Source organism: Homo sapiens, chromosome 3 (genome assembly GCF_000001405.40).
Source record: "Homo sapiens chromosome 3, GRCh38.p14 Primary Assembly".
NCBI lineage: Eukaryota > Metazoa > Chordata > Mammalia > Primates > Hominidae > Homo > Homo sapiens.
The window spans coordinates 8,299,834-8,325,216 of NC_000003.12; the positions used below are offsets into that span (position 1 = coordinate 8,299,834).

A 25,383-nucleotide genomic window follows, 5' to 3' on the forward strand; every position below is an offset into this window, starting at 1 on the left:
ACCTGATCTCCCTACACAAAGCAGATACTCAGTGAATGCTGGCAGAAAGAAAATGAAGGCTGGGAAGATTCCCAGTGCTGTCTCTATACTCCTGCAGTTTCTTTGAAAAGTTCCTCCCAGGGCTATGGCTTCTTGTGAGAAAGAAACAAAAAAGGAGTCTTCTCCCTAGTTTCAAGATTGCCCCTGACCCCCCTCCTCCCAGCCCTAACACATTAGCACCCGGCTGACTCAGTCACTTCTGATCTGTGAGTTAAGCTCATCCAATGTCTGTTGACCCACCTTCTACTTCCCTCTGCAGGGTTTGGACCACCATTCTATCCTATCTGGCACTCAGTCAGCGTGGTGTAAGAGGGGTAGACCCCCAGGCCTTCAAGTGGGTCAAGATGACTCTACATGATCACTACATTAATGAGCATGTCATTGCCACTTTCTCTCAGAGGAAATTCTCTCTCACTGCTTCTTTCTCCCCCAATAAGAGGAATATTAAGCTAGGACACACTCAAAGAGTCAGAATGGGCAATGTGGTGGAAATGAGCACTGGAATTGAGTTAAGACACCCAGATACCTTGTTGTAAATTTGCTGTGTGACTTTGAGTAAGCCTCTGCCCTACGAAGAGAGAGACCACTGGACCACTCAGGGATAACAAATCCCTGACATGTGTATCGCCATGACCCATTCCCAGACCCACGGCAGGCATCACTAATCAATCATTTTCAACTGAGCCAAAATGAAGTGTCACAATTCTTCTCCATAGAGAAGCCCTATCAATAGAACAGGACTGGCACACTGGCTTAAGCCTCTTTACCACCCTAAATTTGATAATCCTTAAGATATTTTCCATTAGTCAATTTGGTTCATATTGCATTGAAATCTAGTACAATTGGTCTATGTACATATATAATAATCTATAAATACTTGTATATATATTTTTATCACAACATACTTCTCATCTCATCATACAGTACTCCCTTCATTTTCCACACCTCCTCAGAGGCTATCAAATAAGTTTGCCCACTCATACGTTCTCAGAACCTAAGAATGTCATTCATCAGGATCAGGAAATTTGGAATATGTTCATCCATTCATTCATTCAAACTCATTTTTTAAATTTTCTGAGCAGCAGCCACATGCCAGGCCTAGCCAGGTGCCCTCTTGTTGATTTCTCTCCTGTTTGGGTGGCGATTCTTTATTCCGGTTTGGTTTTGTTCTTTCCATTCAAGACCATTTTTCCTGATACACTGCACTGCTTAGGTTCAGATGGCTGTCTCCTACACTTTCCTTTTAAACTTCTACTCTCCCAGGGAAGTGTTCTTCATTGAATTCCCATATACCTGTAGTAAACAGACACGTTAGATGAGGTTTGGGTGTGGTCAACCTCAAAATGGTAACAGAACCACTCTGAGCTCCTAAATATAGAAATTTTGGAAGAGGGAAGAGGACTCAGAAGTGTTACAAAGGAAGCTAAAGTCCAGGTTTGCTGACTTGTAAAATTCTGCCTGTGGTAAGGCATATTAGCTGCTAGGACTTCAAGCAGCCCACCTCAGGCCTCAAAAGGAAGGTTCATAATCCAAGGTCGGGATCAAATAGTGATGGCAATGAAAGAAGCCACTCAAGGGAGCCCAAGCTAGTTTTAAAAATATCTGAAGGGAACTCAGGGGGCAGAATGCTCACATAGCTCTAAGCCCATTGTGTGCCAGTTACGATGCTGAAGCAAAAACTGGAATCAAAGGATGGACAGTATTAGGGAATAGATTCTGGCTTCATGGAAGGAACGTTTGAACAGTCAGAAGGCCAAACACAGCGGCTCACAGCTGTAATCCCAGCACTTTGGGAGGCCAAGGTGGGAGGCTCACTTGAGGCCAGGAGCTCAAGACCAGCCTGAACAACATAGTGAGACCCCATCTCTCAAAAAAAAATTTTTAAAGAACAGTCAGAGCATCTCAGAGAGAGAGTGAGCAGAACATCCCACCTCAAGGAGTAAGGAGCTTCCCGGACTGGGGAGGGAATCAAGCAAGGCTGTAAGTAGAAAAAGAGGTGGGTACATGCTCGTCGTGTTGGTCTCTATAACCTCAGTGCCAGGCGCACAGTAGGTGTTTAATAAATACTTCTAAAAGAGAGAAGGGGGCATCTTGGTGAGGAAAGGGAAGGGTCTAAAAGAGGAGAGGCAGGCTAACAGCCTTGGTTCTAGAGGGAATTCTCACTCTGAGAGAGTGGTTAGACGAGATGATTTCTGGTCCTTCCTATTTCTGAGATTTTATGATTCTAAGAAGAAAGAGAAGTTTATGAAAACCTAACCCAGAGTTTTTCAGCAAGGACGTGTGACTTTTTAATGAGGGAGCTCCCTCTACTGGACAGAAGTCTGTTCTTCAACTGAATTTTGCCATTTCTTCAGCACTTGGAACTCAGAGGTGGTAGAATGTCTTCCTGTACCAATGCTTTTTAAATCCTAAAGAAACCACTATCCCATATGTCGCACCCTGGTCTGGAGAATCAACTGTGGGAACGTGACTTTGCCATAAGTAGTGAAAACACTATTGGTCAGACTCCTCCGGTCTAGGTTTTATTGTTAGCAATTTCTTTCCCACATGGAATTTGTGCCATTACCCACAGGAAAGCCACAACCCATTCCACCGAATGCAGCCAGCTGATTAACCAGCCTGTATTGAACACCTACTGTGTGCCAAGCTGCTTGGCACTGAAGATAGAATGGTAAGCAAGTAAACAGAGATAAACTCTAAGAAGGAAAACTACAGAATCCTAGGAGAGCAGATGGTAGGGACTTACACCATGAGCATGTGGACGGGGATATAAGAAGGGTGGTACACAAAAGCTTCCAAGAACTGATTTCTGAGCTGACATCTGGGTCTGGCTGAAGGATGAATAGGAGTTCATCAGTCATAGAGTAGGTGCTTGCTATTTATAAACACTGAATGGCCGAGACACACAGCCTATTATTCCACTAAAGTTTATTTCATGCTTTTTACATACCTGCTCTTGAATAGGCTGCAGACGCTTTAACGTCAGATGCTACAGCTTGTACACCAGGTAGCCCTTGAACTGAATTATTTAAGTAGAGCAGGCCAGGTTACTTCAGGTACGCACATCGAATTAAGGAATAATTATACTAGAAATCTATGTTGGCCGTATTTTCAGCAACATCACCTTTGACCTGGAAGTAATTGGAAAGTTAATAACATTTGATTTAATCTCCAAATATGGCTCACAGGTGTATTCAAGGGAGCTTTGATAACACAGACTCCTCTTAACCCATTTTGCAAGGTTAATGCATGAAGAGTCAGGGTGGGAAGGAGCCCAGAATAATGACTGTTAATCCAGATAGAGACGATATCTGCTCTTGATGAGAAGGAATGAGAAACTGACATTTATTGAAGACCTTCCAGAATCCAGACATAGGTCTATGCTATTTCATTTGGTCCTTATAGAAGCCATAAGAAATATACAGGGCCATCTTCAATTGATTGCTGAATTGGCATTGTTTCAGCCCTAATTCACAATGGTTGCATAAGAGTAACAGTTAGACTTCTTCCAGGTTTCTTCAAATTTTAAGACCATAAAACAAGATTTTGAGCTGTTACCGTGTGTCAGGCTCCATGCCTAGCATTTTAATGTAAGTGCACCATTTCACTTAATTCTAAGAATCACAATTATCCTTTCTAGCTGGGTCACTGAGACACTAAGAGATTTTGTACTTTGCTCAGAGCCACACAGCTGCTGGATGAAGGACACTTCATCCAGACCCATCCAACTCCAGAGCCCTGGCTCCTGGCCATGTCTAACACAGCATCCCTGTCCACCCAGACAGGCAGGTCTGGAGGATTCAAGAGGCTTGAATCACACCGGAAATCATTTATAGGCTATCACAACTCCAGCCAATGGCCCATGCTATGCACTCATTACAAAACAAAATAGTCACCCTTTTGCTCAGATGAGAAGAAAAACAGTGAGTTCCATTTTCCTAGTGGCACACCTCAGGGTATAAAAATTCTAATGAGAGAATTTAAACCTTTAGCTGATGCCTGTGTGCAACAAAATGCTCCAGATCACTGTAATTTAATATATAGATGCATTGCCATCATTTAGACCCTGCAATATGTTGCACAGTAAAGCAGGGCTTGGCTAGGAAGAACCCAGTCAGAAGTTTAAGACACAAGATCAAAGAGACAAGACCAAGAGTTGGATTTCAGCTGTGGGAAGCCCTTGGCCTCCTTCCCCTTTAACCCAACACAGCCTGAAGGTCACATCACCCATGTGAATTGCGCCCAAGTCTGCTCTCTCCACTTAGCACCATTTGTTCTGCATTCTGGGGCTTGAATACATGTGCTCACCTCCTTGGGTACTTGGTGTACCCATCACAGCTGGGACCACGGCTTATACATCTCAGTCACCCCCAGTGTCCAGCCCAGTGGACACTCAAACACTAGCAGGCTGTATTTAAAATAAAGTTTTTAATGTGAATTTATATTGTTAGTCAAAACATGTACCAATGACATGGAATAATGGCTTAAACCATCACAGTTGACCTGCAGGGACCAGTACTTTAGCTTCACCTAGAACAGGGCACATGATATTAAGGCCACATGTACTTGACTCTAGCTTCACCTGTGACAGGGCACATGGTATTAAGGCCATTGACTGCTAGAAAAGGAATTCCCACTGGTGAAGCTATGAGAAAACTGAGACTCAGAGAGGTTAGGCAAGGTCACACAGGTATTAAGTCGTAGAATTAGGATTTGAGCCCAGGTCTACAGGACTCCAAAATCTCAGGGATTACCTATTATGCCACATTATCTGCCCACCAGATAAACATCACCCTGCCCTCAGGGCCTTTGCTTTTTCCAAGATAAACTTTAAAGATGATCCGAGCAAACTAGGGCAGAACAAAACAGGCTACTACATCACTAGGTACACTTGGAATGTGTGTATCAAGTAGCTGAAACCCAAACAATTCACCCAATGGGATGCTGGTTCCTGTTATGTCAAACAGCCTACCTGGGCTGAAATTTTCAGAGTAATCTCCCAGTTTTAAATGACATCAACCCAGATCTGGGTGCACCAGCTCTGTCAACATAATGGCCAATATCTGGGGCCAGGGGAAATAAACCCTCATTCAGATGTCTTGATGTTCATTAATGTCACAACATCTTATTAAGGACTATGGTCACAGCACTGCATGGGCTGGGTGTTTGGTAGGGAAATGACTCCATTTTCTTATCTTCCAGATGTGTTATATGATAGATATAGAAACATTGCCTCAATCTGCATAGAAACAAAATTAGCAAAATAAAATGGCAAGGATGATAAAACAAACATCTTTGACTAATTTACATTGAATTAGCAGGATTTATTATTAAAATTGCAATGGCAGCTTGCACTCATGGAAGACTAATGGCATGTTAATCAATATGTTGAATGCTTTATGTATATTATTGTCACATTTAATTTCTGCATCATTTCCCACTTGAGACACAAGTAAACCTGGATTGGGAGAGGCTGGTCACACAGTGAGAAAACAGGTTGGATCCAAACCTATGCCCATCTGACTCCACAGCCCTAACGTTGGTGACTCTTTTACATCTTTGCTACTCAAGGTGTGAGGCAGGGGCCAGCAACAACTGCCTTCTCACAGCTCATTAGAAATGCAGAATATCAGCCTCCTTCCCCAGACCTGCTGAATGAGAATCTGCACTTTAACAGGTGACTGTACCCAGGCCATCTCATCACCTAACCATGCTTGTTTCACACTCTGGTGCCCTTCTTGGGTACTTGGTGTGTTCATCAGGAGCAGGGACCATTATTCTAGGTGTGATGCATACACCCCTTGCCTTATATCACCTGAAGTTTCCTGGGTTCCATTCCAAGCTGGCTGAGCAAGATTCTCTGGTGGTGGGACTCAGGAATCTATATTTTAACCAGTTCTTCAGACTATCCTAAAGGCATACTACTGTCTGAAAACAAACACTGTGATACATCCCGTTGTCTTAAAGTTTACATGCAGGATTCTGTGCTTTTTTCCCAAACTGAAAAGTGTATCCAAAAATTGGAGGAGTATGCAAAGAATAAATGGGTCCATTTGAGTGATCCTAGAAAGACATTCTGTTGTTGTTGATTTTGGAGTCCTGGTAAAGCATTCGTGCTTCTTTTTAAAGCCAGCTCATCAATCCCACCCAATGCAGCAAACATTTCCCAAGCTTCCTCAGGTCAGCATCAACAGAAGGGATGAGTTTTGAAGCAGCAGAGTGATACACAGAGATGCAAGTAAGCCCAACCCAAGGCACAGAATTCTGGTGACACAACAGAGAAGAGCAACATCCATCAGCTCTCCTGAACTGAAAGCCCTGATGCCCTCCCTCAGCCAAGTGGCCCCATCTGGCACCACAGCCACCGTCCCCACCAAAGCAGTAGACTGCCCACAACTTGAGTCTGAACTTTGGGTGCTGCCTGAAGTTAGGCTGGTGGACAAATAAACCCACAGCTGGATGAGCCCCTAGCATGTGTTTGCACACCAACCATGTTAGCCTAATGTACTCAACTGGATTTTAGCTTTGGTTTCCCTATTTAGCAGTCAAATAAATTACTAAGATTAAAACCTCCTTCTCTTTCAGAGTATAAACTCTTTACTGATGTCTAACAACCTCCCTGTCTGCTATCTGAAGTGAACTAGGGTCTTGATTTTAAGCATTCATTTATCTCACAAACACATGCTCAGGATGGAGATACCATGGAGGAAAAAGACTGATATTCTATTCTGCATTTGTAAATCTTACTTAGAGTCTAGCAGTGGAGGAAGTTAACCATTTATTGCAACCAGAAATCAATGTGAGGAAGGTAACGTTCTGAGCCCTGTGAAAGTGAACCACAGGGGAGCTGAACTCATTCCAGGAGAACATGGAAGGCTTTCCTGAGGAAGTCACATTTCAGTGGAGACCTGAAGATCCGCTGGGAAGGAATTGAGTCCCTGGCCCTGACACCTGCTACAGGTCCAGAAGACTTGCACCTGCACTTCCACTGCTCTGTGATGCTAATGACTGCTTAAGATGCATTGAACATTTGCTATTGTGAAAAAATGAGGCTTTGTGTTCTGTTATAGACTGAATGTTTGTGTTTTCTACCCAATAAACATGATATGATAAGGTCCTAATCCCCCAGGTGACTGTATTTGGAGATGGGGCCTTGAAGGAAATAATTAAAATTAGATAAGATCATAAAGGTGGGGCCCTGATCTTACAGGATTTATGTCCTTACGAAAGAGATACCAGAGCACTAATACACACTCCCTCCTCTCCCCGTCCTTCTTCACACTTTCCCTGTCCACTCCCACTTTCTGTTTTTCTCTCCCTCTTTCCAGCATGTGAGTACTCAGAAGACAGCCGTCTGCAACTCAGAAAGAAGTCTCACCAAAAACTGAAGCCTACCAGGACCTTGATCTTGGACTTCCCTGCCAGCTAGAACTGTGAGAAAATAAATAAGTACATATTTGTTGTTTGCACCACCCAGCCTATAGGATTTTGTTATGGCAGCCCTAGCAGACTAATACATGCAGTGTTTTGATATAAATTTATTAAAGAAACTTCTTTATTTGCTTACCATTCCCTGACCAAAAAAGAAAAAACTAGACTCGGGGGTTAAGGATTTCTTCTGATTAGCAACAATATCTACAAAATACTTGTAGTTACGGTCTAAATTAAAATAAGGTCAGGAATCATTTTATAGCTTAGGTAAACAAAATCAACCTCCTATAACAAACATAATTTTAAGCAAACAAAGTAAAGTGTGTATGGCAGGGCTTCTCAAGCTCAGCCCTGTTGACATCTGGGGCTAGATCCTTCTTTGCTGTGGGGCTGTCATGTGCTTTGCAGGATGCTTAGCAACATCCCTGGCCTCTTTCCAACAGTTGCCAGTGGCACCCCTTCCAGTTGTGACAATAACAATGTCTTCAGACACTTCCCTGGCCTCTTTCCAACAGTTGCCAGTAGCACCCCTTCCAGTTGTGACAATAACAATGTCTTCAGACACTTTCTGAGAACAAAATTGCTACTTAGTAAGAATCACTGTTTTATAAAGTGTTACCTCATCTCTACATGGCCCTTTCTCCACCCTTTACACCTGCCTTTACCTAGAAAACACTTACACATGATTAAATGGTTAGCTGAGACATTGCCTCCTCCTGAAAGCCCTCCCTGACTTCCCAGAGCAGCTAGGTGCCCCTCCTCTGGATTTCATTAACCCTTCTTTCTTCATCTGAATTATGGTATCTGTCACTCTTTATGGCAATTGCCTGATGATCCTCCAGTAGACTGTAAGTTCCTTGGGATCAGGACTGACTTACTGCTCATGTCATACTCCCAGTGCCTGGTAGAGTGAGCTATATTTGAGAGACATTGGAGAACTGTTTGTGGATAAAGAAAGTAGGTGAGGGCCCACAGCTCTCATTATACGCATGGTAAAAAGCTGAAAGCTCTAAGATCAGAAACAAGACAAAGATGCCCACTCCCATCACTTATATTCAACACAGTGGTGGAAGTTCTAGCCTGAGCGATAAGGCAAGAAAAAGAAATAAAAGGCATCCAAATAGTAAAGAAAGAAATACAATTGTTTCTGTTTGCAGATGACATAATCTTGTATGTAGAAAACACTAAAGACTTCACCAAAAACCTGTTAAAAATAATAAATGAATTTGGTAAAGTTACAAGATACAAAATCAACATACAAAAATCAGTTGTGTTTCTGTACACTAACAAAAATATCTAAAAAAGAAGTAAAGAAAATTTTATTTACAATAGCATCAAAAAGAATAAAACACTAAATTTAGAAATAAATTTAACCAAGGATATGAAAGATCTGTATGCTGAAAAATATAAAACAGTGATGAAAGAAATTAAAGAAGCTGCAAAGAAATGAAAATATATTTCAGGTTTAGAAATTGGGAGAATTAATATTCTTAAAATGCCCATAAAACCCAAAGTAATTTACATATTCAATACAATGTCTATCAAAATTCCAATGATATTTCTTACAGAAATAGAATAAACAATTCTAAAATTCCTATGGAACCACAAAAGCCCTAACTATCCAAAGCAATCTTGAGCAAGAAGAAGAAAGCTGGAGGCATCACATTACCTGCTTTTAAACAATATTACAAAGCAATAGTGATCAAAACAGTATGGTAATGGCATAAAAACAAAGACTAATGGAACAGAATAAAGAACCCATCAATAAATCCATGAATATATGGTTGACTAATCTTTGACAAAAATGCCAAGAATACACAATGGGAGAAGAATAGTCTCTTCAAAAAAATGATGTTAGGAAAGCTAGATATTTACATGCAAAAGAATGAATTTAGACAGTTATATCATATGTAAGAATCAACTCAAAATGGATTAAAGACTTACATGATCAGAAACCATAAAAATCCTAGGAAAAAACATATGGGAAAAGCTTCTTGACATTGGCCTTGGGTATTATATTTTGGATATGACACCACAAGCACAGTCAACAAAAACAAAAATAAATAAGTGAGACTATATCAAATTAAAAGTTTCTGCACACAAAAAGAAGAAAAACAAATCAATAAATTGAAAAGGCAACCTGTGGAATAAAAGCCATTTGCAAACCATATATCTGATAAAGGATTAAAATCCAAAATATATAAGAAAACCATACAACTCAATGGCAATTAATAAACATATAAATAGAATAATCTGATTAAAAATTGGACAAAGGATCTGAACAAACATTTTTCAAAACAAGATAGACAAATGGCCAACAAGTATATAAAAGTGCTCAACATGGATAATTATCAAGAAAAGGCAAATCGAAACCATAATGAGATGTCACCTTACACTTGTTAGGATGGCTATTATCAGTCAAATAATAACAAGTACTGGCAAGGATGTGGAGAAAAGGGAACCCTGGCAATGTTAGTGGGATTGTAAATTGATACAGCCATTATTGAAAACACTATGGAGCTTCCTCAGAAAAACTAAAAATAGAATTACTATATGATCCCTCAATCCCACTGCTAGGCCTGTATCCAAAGGAACTAAAATCTATCTTGAAAAGATATCTCCACTCCCATGTTCAGCAGGATTTTTAAAAACAGCCAAGATATGAAAACAACCTAAGTGTCCACCAATGAATGAATGTGTAAAGAAAATGCGGTACATATACACAATGGAACACTATTCAGCCTTAAAATTGAAGGAGATCCTGCCATTTGTGACAAAATGGATTAATCTAGAGGACATTCTACTAAGTGAAATAAGCCAGACACAGAAAGACAAACACTGCATGCATGATCTCACTTACGTGTGGAATGCAAAGAAGTTGAAGTCTTAGAAACAAGGAGTAAAAAAGTGGTTGCTAAAAGCTAGAGGGTGGGGAAAATGAGAGGATTTTGGTCAAATGTACAAACTCTCAATTATAAAATGAACCCGTTCTGGAGATCTAATGTGCAACATAGTAGCTATAATTAATAATAATGTATCGTATACTTCAAATTTGCTAAAAGACTAAATATTAAGCATTCTCATCACACAATACACACACACAATGGTAACTATAAGAGGTAATGGATATGTTAATTAGCTTGATTGTGAAAATCACTTCATAAGATATACATATATCAAACCATCATGTGGTACACCTTAATTATACACAATTTTTGTGTGTCAATTATACCTGAATAAAGCTGAGAAAAATGCCTGTTAAGACGGGGGAAATTTACATTTCAAGAAATCATAGAAAAATACTATCATGACTTAAGAATTTCTCAGTTGGAAGTGAGCGTTAACACTTCAGGCCATTAATTGGCTACTGCTGGTATAGACAGGAGTTTATTAAACATTTAGAATGGAATAAACCACTAAACTAGAAAATTTGTTGGTTTGAAAAAACAAAAAAGGAAAGAAAGAAAGTAAGCCAAGTAATAATATCAGCACCACTGTATGAAGGATAAAACTGAGGTCAAGCCAATCAACTCACTTCCTTGTCCAAGGCTAGGTAAATTCAGCTGATTTTACTTCCTAAATTTCTCTGGATTCCATATATTTCTCTCCATCTCCATGGAAATCAACCACATCCAATCATCATTTCTCTTCCAGCCCTCTTGTACCCCTTCCAGACCACCCATCGGTACCCAAATGTCAGCCTTGTAGTCTTTCAGAACCCAAGTCTGATCATAACTATCCAACCTATAACCTTCAATGGCCTCCCTGGATATATCTAACCTGATAGGAAAGCCCCCGCCTGTCTCCACCCATCTCCCACCTTCCCCCCACCACTCTCCAGAACTCTCTGACCTTCTTTCTGCTCCTAATGGGGGCAATTCCCTTCCACATCAGGGCATCAGCATATACTTCTTCTTTTTCTGGAATGTTCTGTTCTTTCTTTTCACCTAACAAACTTTTCTCTTCCTTCTGCTGTCAGTACTGATGTCACTTGTTCCTCCTTCTTCACTATCCCACAGCATGATCTAGATCAAGTCCTCCTGCTCTAGGCTCTCACGGCCCCTATACCTTTCCTTCATGGCACTTACCATAATTTCTAACTACTGTATATATTGTTGACTTTATATTTTTAATGTCTGTCTTTGCCACCCTTCCTCTAAAATATAAATTTCGTAATAGTAAGTCTATAGTTATTGCGCATAACATTACACAATACCCTGGCAGATAGCAGGCACTCAATAAATATTTATGGGAGGAAGGAGAAAAAGAATAAAGGAAGAAATGGAAGGAAGGAAGGAAGGAAGGAAGGAAGGAAGGAAGGAAAACTATGATTAATAGGCAAAATATAAAAAACAGAACTATCATTGATAGTGGTAGCCTTAAAGAAAATTCCCCTTTTCTCTCCCCTTGGACAAGAACTCCCAGACCTTCTTCCCATATTAAACCATCGACTCATCTAATCTATCATGTAAGCAATAGTTGTTTGGAATCTGCTACACACACAAAAGAAAATGAATTAGAAATCAATAGAGCTTGTGACCTTTAAAGGAAATGACATTTTGCAGAATGTATCTGTGGCATGTTGACTACACAATGGTTCTCGGGCAGCATGCGCACCTCCAGAGACATATTTAAGGTTTTCTTTCTCAATGTCTGCCTCCACTCAGACTGTGGTTGGGTTTTCCTCGCACGGAAACATTGAGTTTAGGACCCATTCTTCCTGCAGACAGAGAAGGTCTTTGGAAATGGTGCTGCCTCTTGGCAGGGAGGCAGCGGTAGAGGGAAGAGTAAGGAACAGTGCTAAAAGGGATTGGGAGACAGTAAAGACTGGCTCCCTCTGGAAATATTTGGAGAAGAGCAGTGGCAGCAAAGGGGATTACTTTCTCTCTCTTTTTATTGATGTTTTCTCTGGTCAAAAATGGGGAGAACACAGAACCCTGGCATCTCCCAGAGCTGCACAGGTAAGTATGAGTCTCAACAAAATGGGTGCTTTAGATTGGCTTGGCATTCTGGGCTAAATCTCATTTGCCCGGCTCCTCTGCCCCCCGGACTTGCCCCTCCCTGTGTTCCCATGTAGGACATTCTGACCTCTATCTCTCAAATGCTGCAGACTTGTAAATTCCCACTTGTAATTGTAAATTTTAATTTTAAACATCAGTCTAGCTGTTGCTATAAAGCAATTTTTTTGTGAGATTTCCATTTAAATTGGTAGACTTTCAGCAAAGTAGATTACCCTCAATAATGTAGGTAGGCCTCATCCAATTTAAGGTGGTGTGAAAGGCAGAATTCCACATTCCTTGGGGAATCTCAGTCTTTTCTCTAAAGACCTTTAAGTCTGTCTTTAGACGAGGGCTACAACATCAGTTCTCCCTGGATCTCCAGCCTGCAGCCTGCCTTGCAGATTTCAGACTTTCCAGCTTCCACAATCATGTGAGCCAATTCTTTAATATAATTTCCTCTCTTTTTCTCTCTATGTCTACATATACTATTGGTTCTATTTCTGTGGAGATCCCTGACTAATATACCACTCCTCCTTCTCCTGATCACAAATGCACAGCTTTGGGTCTGGCCTCCTGAGCCTGCTAGGACCATTTGATTAATTACATCTGGCTACATTATTGGATATGAACTGAGTGGGAGATTACTCTTCCCAGAAGAGACACACTGTAACTAACATCTACAAGTATATTCATAGACTGATACCAAACTATCATACTCCCAGACAACCAAGAACAAGCATCAGCATGTCCATTTTTAAAATAAGGAAAGTAAGACCAAGGGAGGTAAATGGTATGCCCAAACTTACATGTCTAATAAGTGTCAGTGAGGACACAACCCCCCGTGTGTTTTTTCTCAGTTCTGGCTCATTTCTGGATGCTGTATTGCTCTTCCTGGAGCCAGGATCTTGACATTCAAGAGTCGAATTGCTGGGACCCTGAGACCTAGTGTCGGACAGAGGGAGAAGCTGCAAAATGTGGCAGAAAGAACTTGAATTTCAATTGAGTCAGATTGGGTGAAGCATCCCACCTGTGCTGCTAACTCCCTGTTGGGGCTTGGGCAGTCATTTCATCCCTCTGAGCCTCAGTTTACCCATATTTAAAAGGAGGAGATTGGACTAGACTAGATGACTGATTTCTAGGAGGAATCTCTTTCTATAGCCTTTAAAGTCCTATGATTGGAGAGAAATGGTCAAAAACCAAAAGTAAATGAACCCAAGAGAGGAACAAAGGTTTCTGGTGTGTGTGTGTGTGTGTGTGTGTGTGTGTGTGTGTGTGTGTGTGTGTGTGCTTTGTTTTCATCACTTCTCCTGGCTGCCAGAGTCTGTTTTGAGTTTTTCCACCCTTGACACCCGAGTCTGACACATCTCTCCAGCTCATAATGAGCTTTAATTCAAGTCACTGATCAATAGCAGGAAACAGCAGCCCTGTTTCCCCTGCTTGTTTTCTCTATCTTCAATCTGCCAAGACAGATTAGGCTGTTTCCAAGGTCACTCAATATTCAGGGAGAGAATGGAAAGATATCTGGTAGGCTGTTCGTAGAACAAGGCTGCAAACAGACAAGATGAGAACCCAACTGTGTGTTCCGTGACAGATTCGATTTACATCAAGGTCAAAAAGGGTATGTTTTCTTACTGAGTCTTTCTCTACCTCACAGTCACCGGCTTGTCCATCAGCTGCTGAGTTGGAGGTCTCCCCTAATGGAATACTGACTTATGAGCACAAGACCAGCCTTGCCAGTCTAGGAGTGCTGTGTAATCTCATGATCCAAGGTGTCCCTTGCTATGCAAACTGCTTTATCAGTGTGTTAAAACATTCATCACTGGACTAAAGAGCAAGGCAGGGCACAGGGCTCCATTCCCTGCCAATAGAAGGCAGATTTTTTTTGTTGCTATGGCTGAAGTCTAATCTCTTGATAGATACCAGCATCCAATCAGTTCCACAGGGTGCTTGTAGAGAAAAAAAAAAATCTGTTCAGTCTTCACCTCTGAAGACATCCATAGAAGTTTTCTTGTTCAGAAAAACAACATAAGAAGCACCACATCACCATTTTCCCTCAATTATTTGGGAGGAAACTAGAAAAATAAGACTTGGAAGATGGCAAGTTCAAAAGGTTTTCAATTTCAGACTTGTAAGCATTGGTTTAAAAATTGTAAAGATGAAACCCAGGCTGCAACATACAAAACTTGGGGGAAGATTTACCTTGGGCTTAATTATGTCTCCACCAAAATTTATATGTTGAAGTCTGGAATACCAGTACTTCAGGATTTGACTATATTTGGAGATAAAGTCTATGAAGAGGTAATTAAACTAAAATAATGCCATTAAGATGGATCTCAACCTAATATGGCTATTGTCCTTACAAGAAGAGGGAATTTGGACACAGACATACAAAGAGATAACCACGTGAAGACACTGGGAGAAGATGGTTATCTGTAAGCCAAGGAGAGAGGCCTCAGAGGAAGCCAAGCCTCCTGATACCTTGATCTCAGCTTCTAGCCTCCAGGACTGAGAGAAAGTGGCTTTCTGTTGTTTAAGCCAGTCAGTCCATGCAACTCTGCTATTACAGCCCCAGGAAACTCATACAATTCTCTCTAAAGGCACTGTAACATTTGCCAAACAACTAAAGAAGTACATTTAGATGTAGCATTCCCTCTCTGAACAGGTTTTCAATGACTACAAAAATGGTCAGTGTCTGGAAGCAGATACATTCTAGGAAAAAATATAAATATAGTATGCATATATAGAGAGAAAAGAGAATAGAGAGATAGAGAAAGAAAGAGCGAGGCAGACTTTCTTCTAACCTCTTATTTTCTGTGATACTTTAAGAGTGTCAAACTCCACTCAGTGAACCACATAATTTTTAGAAGTAGCCCTTGGGTGTTGTTAAGAGATTTATTTACCCATTCTCCAAATATTTATTGAATTCCCACTATGATACACTATTCTAGGCACTGTAGGTACAACTGTGAACAAAATTACTGCCCTAGTGGAGTCTCCACTCATGGAATCAGGAGACAAACAAGTGAGTACATCTATAGTGTACCAGGCAGTAATGCATGCTAAGGAGGAAAATAAAGCAGGGAAAAGGAATTAATTGTTGGGAGTTATGATTTTAGACAGAGTGTACAGGGCATGCTGGTTACTGGCCCAGTGTTTTTCTCCTTTCTTCCAGTCCTTCCATGCTCAACTCTCTGCAGCAGGGGCCTGTAAGCCTGCAAATTACATTTCCCACAGTCCCTTGCAGCTGGGAGCCAGTAGGCTCCCGCAATGGGTGTCAAGGAATGGAGAAAAGAGAAAGGCAAGAGGAAGGGGAAGCGACATTCTTTCAGCTCCTGATGGTGTTTTAAGCAACTGCAGCTACCACAGCAGAGTGTAGGGCTGCTGAGTCCCTGCTCAGATAATGATACCAACAGCAGTAGCTGCACAGCACTTAATGCCTCTGGCAGCCGTGATATCAGAAGCAAATCTCTTCTAGCTCCTGAGTGCCAGAGGGAGTGGGAGAAGATCCAGCAGCAGCCTGTCTGTGGCACAGAGAGCCTGGACTCTGGTTACACCATCTCCCCTTATGCCTTCAGCCCTCCTGCTGCAGCTAATCTCTGCATGAGCTCATCTATCCCTTCTGCTCCTCCAGTGTTTTCATTTTGTAACCAATCTCCTCTATTAAATTCTCTGAAATACCTACAGTTGTTCCTACGTTTCTGACTAGACATCAACCAAATGGTCTCACTCAGTAGGTGACATCTGAGTAGAGACCTAAAGAAAGAGGAATAGGCCAGGCGTGGTGGCTCAAGCCTGTAATCCCAGCACTTTGGGAGGCTGAGGTGGGCGGATCTTGAGGTCAGGAGATCAAGACCATCCTGGCTAACACAGTGAAACCCTGTCTCTACTAAAAATACAAAAAAAATTAGCCAGGCATGGTGGCGGACGCCTGTAGTCCCAGCTACTCGGCAGGCTGAGGTGGGAAAATGGCGTGAACCCAGGAGGTGGAGCTTGCAGTGAGCGGATATCGCGCCACTGCACTCCAGCCTGGGCGACAGAGTGAGACTCTGTCTCAAAGAAAAAAAAGAAAAAAGAAAAAGGAATAAGGTTTGTGACTATCTGCGGGGGAAAGCATTCCAAACAGAAAAAAAAAAAGAGCAAGTGCCAAGGACCTGAAGAAGAGCATGTCTGTTGTGCTAGGGAAGCAACAGGGAGGCCAGAAGAGTTGAGGCAGAGCAGGGAAAGAAGAGGGGGTAGAAGATTAGATCAGAAAGAGCCAGATCATGAAAGCCTCATGGGCCACTGAGATGGCTCTATTGCCCTCCAAAAGTCTAAGCATCCTCTACTGAATATGTGAAAATGACAAAATAAACTGGGAGTTGTCAGAACTCCAAAGGAATATTAGGGTCCAATGTAGGCCTGTTCCCACATTATGAAGATAAAGAAACAATGGGATCTATGATTTAGAGCAAGGGTTGGTAAATGATGACCCATAACCTAAATCCAGCCCACCACCTGTTTCTGTAGATAAAGTTTTTCTGACACTTAACCACAGCCATTCACTTACATATTGCATATGGTGGCTTTTGCATTACAATGATAGGGTTAAGTAGTTGCAGCACAGACCATATGGCCCACAAATGCTAAAATATTTCCTCCCTGTCTCTTTATTAAAAAAAGTCTGTTCACCATTATTTAGAGAGTTAGTTATCTCAGTAATGAAAAGGAGCTGAGTTCAGAATAGGAAAGTCATCTTACATGGCTAATGAAAAACGCTGTAGCCCTTACCTACGTATGTAGTCCTGGTATGAGAGAGTACAAAGATGAGAAGACAGAAACTTCCAAGCATCACCACGTTTTTCACTTCAAAGTAGTCTGGATATTGTCAGGTACATATCACTGAGTATCAGGTGGTGATTGGGACAATAAAGAGAGACATTTAAATTGGCCAGTGACACGAGCTCTTCAGCAAGATGACACTTGCTTAGAAGTTATCAGAACAAAACAGAAGCTGATGTCCAGGACATAGTGAAAATTTAGAAAAGCTGGACAAGAGAAGCCTTCACAGCCTTTGGAAAGACAATTCGAATCCTAAACCCTGGGGCAAGGAGAGGGAAGATTGCATGCCCAGGTCTCACTCTGTCCTCCCCACTATACCTTCACGAAATGAGAACCCTTCCCTTCTTCATCTTTCTTTCCTCTGCTTAGGTTCCACCCCACTCTGAGCACTGAGGTAGAATAGCAAAATTCACCTTTAAATATGGAAATTCAGCTCCTCATTTTGTTAAAATTATACAGAACCAGAGACTAACATTTGCATTTCACAGTCTCCAGATTCTCACAGACCTTGATGAGCCAAGAGGCAGTTAACACCAGTATTCCTGGGTAAACTGGCTTTTCTATTGGCAAATAAATCTTTTTATATTAAGGTGAAACAATAATAATCATTTTAAACAATCATGTGGAGTGTGATTACAAAATAGCTCATTTGGAAAGAACATTATCAGCTTATGAGATCCTCAGAGATTCTAAAACGGAAGGTGCTACGAATAAAACCAACTGTTATGGGGCTTTGTCATTTCCACAGCACATGAAGGCAAAATTCACACTTTAATACTGTAATGAGAAAACAATGCAAATTCTGATTAAGTAAAAAGTGAAAGTACTTGTTACAGCCAAGCCTAGCATCTCTCTTATCCTTGCTGGCATTACAGAGGAATCAAGGGGGGAATCTTCTAACCTTCTAAGGCGCCTCAGGTACCATTCAGGTCTGCATACTCAAATTCAAAGCATTCATCCTTTGGCGGCTGGGTAATAGGAGGGGTTTGCCAGCAAATGCAAACAATTATACCTTGCAATACTCCACTCACTTGCTATTTACCCAAGGTTTCCTGTAAGCAGAATCCCATCTGGCCCAGCTTAAGTCATGCTGACCTCGTTTCGATGGCATGTTTTCCATAGCAGTATAACCCCACTCACTTGGGCTTGTTGGTAAAATGTCAAGCCTGTGTTACACACAGAAGGGTCAAGAAAATTGAGTATTTTTCCTAAGATATCTCTGTATTACTTCCAAGTACTATAGTAACTCCTAGAACATGAAAAAAAAATAAAACTAGCACTCATTTATTTGACAAAGGGTAATTGAACCCCATTCTGTACCAAATGCTGTCCAGGTGCTGAAGCTGCAACTGAGATTTTTTTCTTCGTGGAACTTTGTATCCAACAGAGATGGGAAAAATGAGCAATCATCAGATTTATGGTCTTCTGTGAAGATGGCACGAAACCTGTCTCCTCCTGAGCATGGCAACCATCCCCCTTAATCTTATTTACACAAGGGCAAATATTATTTACCCTTCTTTCATAGAAAAAATTAAAGGTAGTTTTGAGCAAAGCCATTATCCAAATCATGAAATCTTGAAATCAAACGAATGCAATTTAATTCCTAATTGCAATGGTAAAGACTTTATTAACTTCCTGAGCTATCCATGCATACTTTTTCAGTTCATGTTGGTGTTTTCCTATTGCCACACACATCAAGCTTGCTTCTCCCAAAAACAGAAATTGTAGCTGCTTGGAGAATATATTCTCATTCTAATCAGACATTTACATCTTTATTTTCTCATCTTCTGCTCCCTTCTATCCCACTACAATCTGGCTCCTGCCTCCATCTTGCTGTGTGACTCTTTCTAAGTTTATTAATGACTTCCCCATTGCTAACTTCAACAGACCTGCTTCATGCCTCAGCTGACTTAGCTCTCTGGTGCATTCAATATAGCTTACCATCTGCTTTCATGGCACTGCATTCTTGCAGTTTTCCTCTTTCCTTCTTGGCCTCCTTTGCCCACTAATTCCCTCTAAAATGTTGATAGTCCTCAAAGATGTCTCTACAATCTCTTCTCCCAGTTTCATACCCTTCACTTAACTACCATCTCTATGCCAATAACCTGCAAAGTGATGTGTCCGACTCATAGCTCTCTTCTGAGCTAAAAAACAATATGCTCAACTCTCTACTTGATTTTTCCCCTTGGTTATATCACAAGTACCTCAAAATCAACATATGTAAAACTAAATTCTTGATCTTATGCCCAAACCCATTTTTCTTCAAAGTCTTCTGTCTCTATGAATGGCATAATCAGTTTTTGCAAACCAGGTCAGAGACAGTCTTCCTCCTTCCTTACTCGTGACACCCTAAACAATGTCGAGAACCATTGATTCTTCTTTCTAAATAACTCCAGGGCAAAGCTCTCCAAATCCACTACCACCACTATAATCCAAGCCAAGATTTTCTTTTTCATGGACCACTGCAAGCTCCATCTTCCATTTTTATCCCTTTTTGATGGATTCTGCACATTATAGCCAGGGTAATCTTTTAAAACACAAACTCAATAATGTTGCTCTCCTGCTTCAAGCTTTTCAATTACTCTCAATTAGTCTTAGAATAAAATCCAAACTCTTAACCTGGCCATGCCAATAAGGCATCTGCCCTTTTTCTTCACTGTTCAGCCAAACTGACCTTTCATTTCCTCAAATCGGTCATACATCTTCCAAAGGACCATCTTCCATTTTCCACATGACCTAAGGTCCCTTGCACGTACTGTTCCCATCACACAGACTGCTCTTCCCACTCCTTTCAAATTTCAATTTAAATACAATTTCTTCTCAAATAAATACTCACTGATTCCCAAACTGTAAGCACCCCCTTCTTCCAAGCATAGAAGATCTCATTGTGCTTTTCCTTTTTAACTGTTATAACAATTATAATAAAAGGATAGATGCATGTTTCACATGCAAGAATGTCAAATCCATGAGGGCACATAAAAACGTGACAAGCACATTTCAAATAATGAGTCAGTCAGTGAATTAACGACTACAAGAATGTCAAGAACTTCCTATATGTGGGGTATGGCAACCTATGACTAACAGCCCAAATACCACATGCCTAGTGGTTTGGTGAGATCTCTCTGCATTTTCTATCAAATACAGGAGAAAAAATGTTGCTTTGTCTTCACAAGCAGGTAAGCAACAGGAGAAGATGCATGTTTTCAGTTAATTCATGCTCAAATTTAATTACTTTATCAATTAAGTGTTTTCTCCCAGCCCTCTTTATCTTCTCTCCATGACATAAGCAGCCAAGAACTCAATGAGAAAAAAGCATCCTGTTACATCAGACCCAGTCCTGGTTGGCTTAAAACAGTCTCCATCTATCCCATCTCAGCTCACCTTTATATCTCATCTACTCTACAAGTGTATACCAAAAATGTTTAAAAATCCAACTGTTGATATCAACCTTGACTCCATTCTGTTTCATCTGCTTTGACCTCCCTTATTAGTTCATTTTCATACTACTATAAAGATACTATGTGAGACTGGGTAATTTATAAAGGAAAGAGGTTTAATTCAGCCACAGTTCCGCATGTCTGGGGAGGCCTCAGGAAACTTACAATCATGGCAGAAGGTAAAGGCGAAACAAGGAAATTCTTCACATGGTGGCAGGAGAGAGAAAGAGGGGGAAATGCCACACTTTTAGACCATCGGAGCTCATGAAAACTCACTCACTGTCACAAGAACAGCATGGGGTAAACCTCCCCCATAATCCAATCACCTTCCACCAGTTTCTTCCCTCAGCACTTGGGGATTAAATTCAAGATAAGATTTGAGTGGGTACACAGCGCCAAACCATATCACCTCCTATCTCTGTTCTTACATTTTTCAGATCTCCAACTCCTGATCTGCCCTCAGTAACTCACTATCCATCTTCAGTGTCCTACTGTATCAGACCCCTTGCTCCAGTGAGTCAGGTAGCTATTTCTGTGTAGCAAATGAGTTCATATTCAAGTGGCTTACAACAAAAAAACACTTAGTATGTCTGAAGTGTCTGAAGGTTGGCTGGAGTAAATTGATTTACATTTAATTCAGCCAGAGGCAGCTGTGTTCCGCACGCCTCTCACCCTCCTGCTGAGACCAGTAGGCTCACCTGAGCATGTTGTTCTCACAACAAAGGTAAAAATGCAGGAGGTTGAGGTCCCACTGCACGAGTCCAAGTTGAAACTCTGCTCATGTTATATGCTAACATCCCATAGGCTAAAGCCAGTTACAGCCAAGCCCAAAGTCAAGGAGTAGAACTGCCACTATTCCACTGCAAAGCTGCAGAGAAAAGGGTATGGATGCAGAAAGGGTTGAAAATTAGCCTAAGGCTTCAATCTACCACGTTAAAGACAATCCTCGTGTTGCACATGCAGCATAGGTCAGAGACACTCTAGTATCCCTCTCTCTCTGTACTCCCTTAGGCCCCTTAGCTGGCTCGGCTTCCTGGCTGGTCTCATCTTCAGAAAGAATAGACAATATGTCCATGATGACTATTTGATAATAAAATCCGAAGATATTGGCAAGATTTTGGATGTTCTACTTTAAATATTTTCTAAGCTGAGTTGTTATCTCTTGACAGAGTGGAATTTACTTTGAAAGAAAACTCGAATAATATGAGGGTTTTGTGCTATTTTGGTATTATTTATGCCCTTGTTATGCAAAGTGTGGTCTATGGACCAGGAGGATGGGCAATCGCTTGTGAACCTGTTAGAAATACAGATTCCCAGGACACACTCCAGACCTACTGAATCAAAACCTGCCTTTTGACAAGATCCGCAGGCGATTTATATGCATGTGAAAGATTGAGAAATACTAGACTGTACCAAGATTCTTTTAATCAGGGAAATGCCAATAGGTAACTTTGAAAATGATGATGACTGAAAGACTATATGACCAGTCTTTATAGAGGTAGAAACGGACAACAAATAGCAACGTTGCTGTTGCCATTAGGTTATTAGACTCAGAGCTTTGGCTTTCAAAATCTCCCCTGGGAAGGTGGACAGTGCATTCCTCAGTGAACAGTCTATTTCTTTTGAAATCATAAAATTTCAAACAAATTACAAGAAAGGTCAGGCTGAAAATTAAAGCTATAATTTTATTGGGTGACTCCTTTCTGGAAGACAAAGCTGTTTTCCTTCACTACATTGCTTTTATTGAATTTCTGGTTCATTTAAAAGGGAAAAAAAATAAAAGGTATACACATAATGAATGGGCATATACAGTCTGGTTGAGTAAAAGAAAAAGTATAAAAGATTCTTATTAATTGGCAAATTATAATGGATGACGAAAATAACTGTAATTGTGTAGAAAAGACAAGCATCCAAGCAATTTTCTTATTAGGAATAATGTAGGCAGGAAATGTGAAAAAGGAAGTGCACTTTCAAATTCTACTTATCAGGGGAAAATATGCTAAATGTAATCTGGACAACGGCAATATATACAGTAAAATAAATGTTAACAGTTTCCTTGTGCCCCTTGAAATTCATCCCTCCCTCCACTGCTGTACCAGGCAATCACTTACCTGCTTTCTGACATTAAAGATTAACTTACATTTTTTAGAATGTTGTATAAATGAAATCATATGTTATGTACCCCTTTTTTGGCCCAGCCTGTTTTACTCAGAATAATGATTTTGAGAGTCATTCATGTTGTGTGTGTACCCACAGTTGATTCTTTTTGATTGCTAGGTAGTTTTTCATTGTATGAGTATAACATCATTTGTTAATGGATATCTGGGTCATTTCTATCCAGGCTATTAGAAATAAAATTGGCATGAGAATGTGGATATAAGTCTTCACATGGACATATGTTCTTATTTTTCTTGTATAAATACCTAGGAATGGAATGACTGGCTCATACAACAGGTGTTTGTTTAACTCTTTTAAAAAACACTGTCAAGCTTTTGCTAAAGTGGCTGTACATTTTATATTCCCACCAGCAGTGTGTGAGAGCTCTGATTCCTGCCATCCTCATCAACACTTGGTGTCGTCAATCTTTTTAATGTTAGCTATTTTAATGGTTCTGTAGTATCATCACCCTATGCCCTATGTTTTTCATTTGCATTTCCCTAAGGAATAATTATTCTGCCCATCTTTTCATGTCCTTATTGCCCATTGGTATATTTCTTTCTGAAATGTCTGCTCAAATATTTAGCCCACTTTTACTGGGATATTTTGCTTCTTCTTATTCGGTTGTACAAGTTCTTTACATTACAGATACATGTTCTTTGTCAGATACATGGTATAAGAAAAGACTTAAGGTCCTTTCTGGTTGTCACATTTTAATATTCTGTGATTTGGGTATAATCCTGAGTATTCAGATACCTGTATTTATAGAGTTAACTAGTGGAATAAATATTTTATTTTTCAAGCAACTATTTGCACTTTATGCAGATGTAATCCAATCAAAATGAATACATAGAATGTAAAGGATTCCAGAGGCCTTTGTTTATTTATTTTGTTTCTTAGGACCACCGTGGTTTAAAATGTAGAGTGTGGCTTTAGCCAATTAACAGCAACTTTTGTCCATTGCCCAGCAGCTGTAGAAGAGATGAGACTTATTCTGAAAAAGGAGAAAAGGCAAAAATCATAAAAAAGGGAATCTTTTCTTATTTAGGGGCCCAAACAAGTACATGCCCCAAAAGGCCAGAGGAGCTACCTGAATAGCCTGATAGGCAAAGAGCATCATGAAGGGGATTTGTGAGAGATCCCAGACATAAAATAAAAGCAGGTCTCCCAGGGAGATCAAATGGATGGGCTCGGTTCCTGGTCAATGTGGCCCCGGGAGCCAGCAAGAACAGAGAGATGGCCAGAAAATGCCAGCATCTCCGGATTCATGCAGCTAAGACCAGTGTCCCTTGGGACACCAGGGCCTGTGATGCCTCTTTAAGTACTGGGACTATGTCCAGCACCATTCTGTAGCTTGAGGCCAAAGAAGGAGCCAAGATAGGAATCCTGCCTCCAAGCAGCTCACACTCTAGGGAAGGCAAATAACTACAAAAGAAGGTGTCGCCTAGGAAAAGAATCCAAGGGCAGCTCAGGGATGTGGTGCAGGTCAGCATGACCCAATCCCTGGACCAACTGGAGGCTTCAGAGCTCAGCACCACTGAGCAGAGTAGAGCAAAGTCCACTCAATCTGTGATGCACCATGGCTTTTCTGCCAACCCATAGCAGATGTCCTTCTTAAGTGGAAGACTCAAAGCAGCAGACTATGAGAAAGACTCAAGGACAGAACCACAAAACACCATGATGCCAGCAATCCTGATGGTATTAGTTAGGGCAGAAAGCCTCACATTTCAGAAAATGAACTTAAACTGCAGAGAGACATAAGCCCCAAGCTGTCTTCCAGTGATTAGGCTGTTTCTTGACATAAAGGTCCTGTCACAAATGAAAGCTTGGCAAATCAAAGGTAGAACCTAAGAAAAGAATGACCCCAAAGAGCCCAGAGTCAGAGATGGTACTTTGCCTCTAGCCACCGCCCTTGACTAAAAGAGTGTGCTTGTCCCAAGCAAGAAGGTCTTTTTTTTTTTTTAAATAATTGCTGTAATTAATTAAACATACACCTAAGTTCACTGTTTGGTAAGACTCCATAAAAAATTGTTTAGATTCTTCTTACACCATTCCTTTATGTGTTTTCCCATTAAAAAATCATATTCAAGTGTTGATAAGGTAAAAATACCTAGATATGTCTGATTGATTGCATCATTTGGAAACAGCAGAATGTATTGAAAGACATCTGGTAGCTCAGAGTCTGCAGTGGTTGAGAGGCTGTGCAGCAACCACACTTCTGAACTGCGCCAGCAGAGGTCCCACTGCTCCTGGGACTCAGACACTGCAGCTCAGTCCACAGTCAGGCCTCAAACACCAAGAATCTCCCCTACACCTGCCTCCAAAAGCCGAATGCCTCTACCACCACTATTGCCAGTAAATGGACTTCGTGCTCTGCTGCTTCCTCTGGTCACTTCACATCAAAATCTCCTCTGTGTGTGCATCTTATTGGTGGGGAGCCTAAGCCATATGACTGCATCCGCAAGAGAGGCTAGGAAAATGTACGACCGGCTCCCACCTTG

The 25,383-nt window shown here is 40.9% G+C and overlaps 1 long non-coding RNA gene across 1 annotated transcript in view, besides 1 other annotated feature; it reads right to left on the reverse strand.

Moving 5' to 3' along the window:
* The window catches only part of LMCD1-AS1 (LMCD1 antisense RNA 1), a 280,512-nt gene that overhangs the window by 78,687 nt on the left and 176,442 nt on the right, over nucleotides 1–25,383 (reverse strand). The gene's annotated exons all lie outside the window — the stretch shown is intronic.
* Nucleotides 19,877–21,076: an enhancer, noted in NCBI's record as "CDK7 strongly-dependent group 2 enhancer chr3:8361398-8362597 (GRCh37/hg19 assembly coordinates)". NCBI's record gives its function as "activates an origin of replication core promoter dependent on BRD2, BRD4, P300/CBP, MED14 and CDK7 cofactors, with strong dependence on CDK7, by STARR-seq in HCT116 cells {active_cell/tissue: HCT116}" and the evidence as "EXISTENCE:reporter gene assay evidence [ECO:0000049][PMID:35650434]".